This window comes from Homo sapiens, chromosome 8 (genome assembly GCF_000001405.40).
Source record: "Homo sapiens chromosome 8, GRCh38.p14 Primary Assembly".
NCBI lineage: Eukaryota > Metazoa > Chordata > Mammalia > Primates > Hominidae > Homo > Homo sapiens.
In genome coordinates, this window is record NC_000008.11 from 65,287,701 (window position 1) to 65,290,104 (window position 2,404).

Here is a 2,404-nt window from a genome sequence, read left to right on the forward strand (position 1 = left end):
AGTCATTTTTTCAGTCATTTATTGAAATTAATTGAATATTAATTTATTCAGTCATGTATTGAAATTCTTATTTCCACAACTACTTTTTTTCCTAAATAATCATTTATTATAATAGATTGTTCTCATTTATGTATGTGCGACTGATATGGTTTGGCTCTGTATCCCCACTCAAATTTCATGTGGAATTGTAATCCCCATGTGTTGGGGGTAGCCTGCTGGGAGGTAATTGAATCAATGGGGCTGCACTTCCCCCTTGCTGTTCTCCTGATAGAATTCTCATGTGACCTTGTTGTTTAATAAGCGTGTGGCTCTTCCCCTTTGCTCTCGCTCTCTCTCATCACCATGTAAGACATGCCTTGTTTCTCCTTGGCCTTCCACCAAGACTGTAAGTCTCCTGAGGCCTCCCCAGTAGTGTGGAACTATAAGTCAATTAAACATCTTTTCTTCATAAATGACCCAGTCTCAGGTAGTTCGTTATAGCAGTGTGAAAATAGACTAATACAGCATCTTCTTGTATCTCTAAGAATCTTCAGTTTTTAAAATTCTTTTCTCTACTTTGAGTTATCTCTTTTTCCAGGATCATGATTTTTCTATTTATACATCACGATCTTCTTTGATTATTGTAACTTTCTATTTATGCATTATGATCTTCTCTGATGATTGTAATTAAAAGCATAGCGATCCTCCATTGCCAGTTTACATCTGTGGTGTCATATCCTAGATGGACAAGTTAAGGGGGTTGTCAATACTTCTGACAGGCCCCTTTTCTCAAGGCAGGGTGACCATAGACACTGCAAGTGGGTGTCTGTGTCCACAGGAAAGCTTCTCCAAGGAGTGCCCTACAGGAAACCAAATAAGGAAGGTTTGACTCATGGCTGGAGACCATAGTGTATTTCATTTTTAGGTAGAGTTGCCCTTTCTTTTTAACTTTTCTATTGTCTGGCGTGGCTGTCCTGACTTGTCTCAACTTTACTTCCTTCTCAAGCCCCACACCCACTCCTACATCCTTCTCAGGCAGATCACCCAAGTCAGTCTATTTATGGTATGTTAGTCTGGCACTAAAGGCACCACCAATATGCTTGGTAAGTTCACAAACTTAGAGGAGTGGCCCTGTAGGCTCAGCTGTTTGGACTACAATCTTTTCAATAAATACCCTGGCCGCTGCCCCATGCACCCTCCTGGTCTTACTTCTCAGCTTCACTCTCCCCCAGAATGTTCTTGTCAACTCTGGCTCTGATCTCCAGGAGGCAAATTTTCCCTGTTATTCGCTCTCCATCTGATCCCATTCATTTTTTATGTTCCAGTATTTCCTCAAATGATCTAGTCTGTTATGGATTCATTTTCCTTGTTTCCAGTACTGTTATGGCATTATTTGTTTTTATTCATTATTTTCAGTCACTTCAACTGGACTTAGGGAGGGAAAGAGAAATGATGTCTGTGTTCAACGGTCCATGTTGAATTCTGTCCCAGAATTTTGAAATTCTCAGTTGGAACACTACATTCTCCCACAATTTAGTGTAAATATTACAAGTGTGTCCACATACGTGAAGTCATGTACCTAGTGACTTACCAGCTCTGGGAACAGGTGAGGAAGATCACATGGATGCTATCTTCAGCAGTTCCGCTCTGCCCTCTCAGCAATTCCTCCACCTCCATACACTTAACATCTCAAACATCCACCTCCACAAATAACGAACTCTGACAAAATGAGAAAGAAGACCTAGAGGCTGCAGGTCTGACCAAGGCTCATGGAGATAAATATACAATAACAAGAGCAGTTTTACAAGAGGGTGGAAATGTGATCATCTTATGTTGGCTGCATGAGACTGAGAGTTGAAGTTATTTCCTCAAGGCTACGCTGTAATTAGCAATGCACTCAGGAATTTAGGACTCCAATCCAGATCTTTTTATACTCAGATTATGGCTTTTCTACACTTTATGTTGTTTCTTTTTCCTTTTTTTTTTTTTCAGTGAATCAATAGAGCAAAATATTTCCTCTCTCTTTACCCTCACCAATAAGTTACTGTCTTTTTATTAACCCCTTTTGCCACATAACTGCCTCTCCACATAACATTCAAACATGTACAGTTCAATTGGTTTTGGAATTCTGAGCTATCAGTTTTACTTTTTGCAATCAGAAGCACTGACACTATCCACTAGCAACAATTCAAGTGAGTTCTACAAATATTATGCACCTAAGAAACAGAAAGCATTGTACTAAATACAACAGGAAATACTAGAACGAGTAGAGTCAATCAAGAGAATTGAGGGAGAGATAAAGAAGATTAGCTAATTGCAGCCAGTTATTTGAGTCATTTAGAGGACCAGGGGAGGAGGAAAAGTATGGCAGATGACCACTGTCCATGAGCACCTGGGTCTGCTCCCACTTCAGGCATTTCTCAGC

At 40.0% G+C, this 2,404-nt stretch overlaps 1 annotated feature.

The window, feature by feature from the left end:
- Positions 1-515: an enhancer, noted in NCBI's record as "NANOG hESC enhancer chr8:66199936-66200450 (GRCh37/hg19 assembly coordinates)". NCBI's record gives its function as "activates a minimal SCP1, AML or CMV promoter by ChIP-STARR-seq in naive H9 embryonic stem cells {active_cell/tissue: H9 hESC(naive)}" and the evidence as "EXISTENCE:reporter gene assay evidence [ECO:0000049][PMID:30033119]".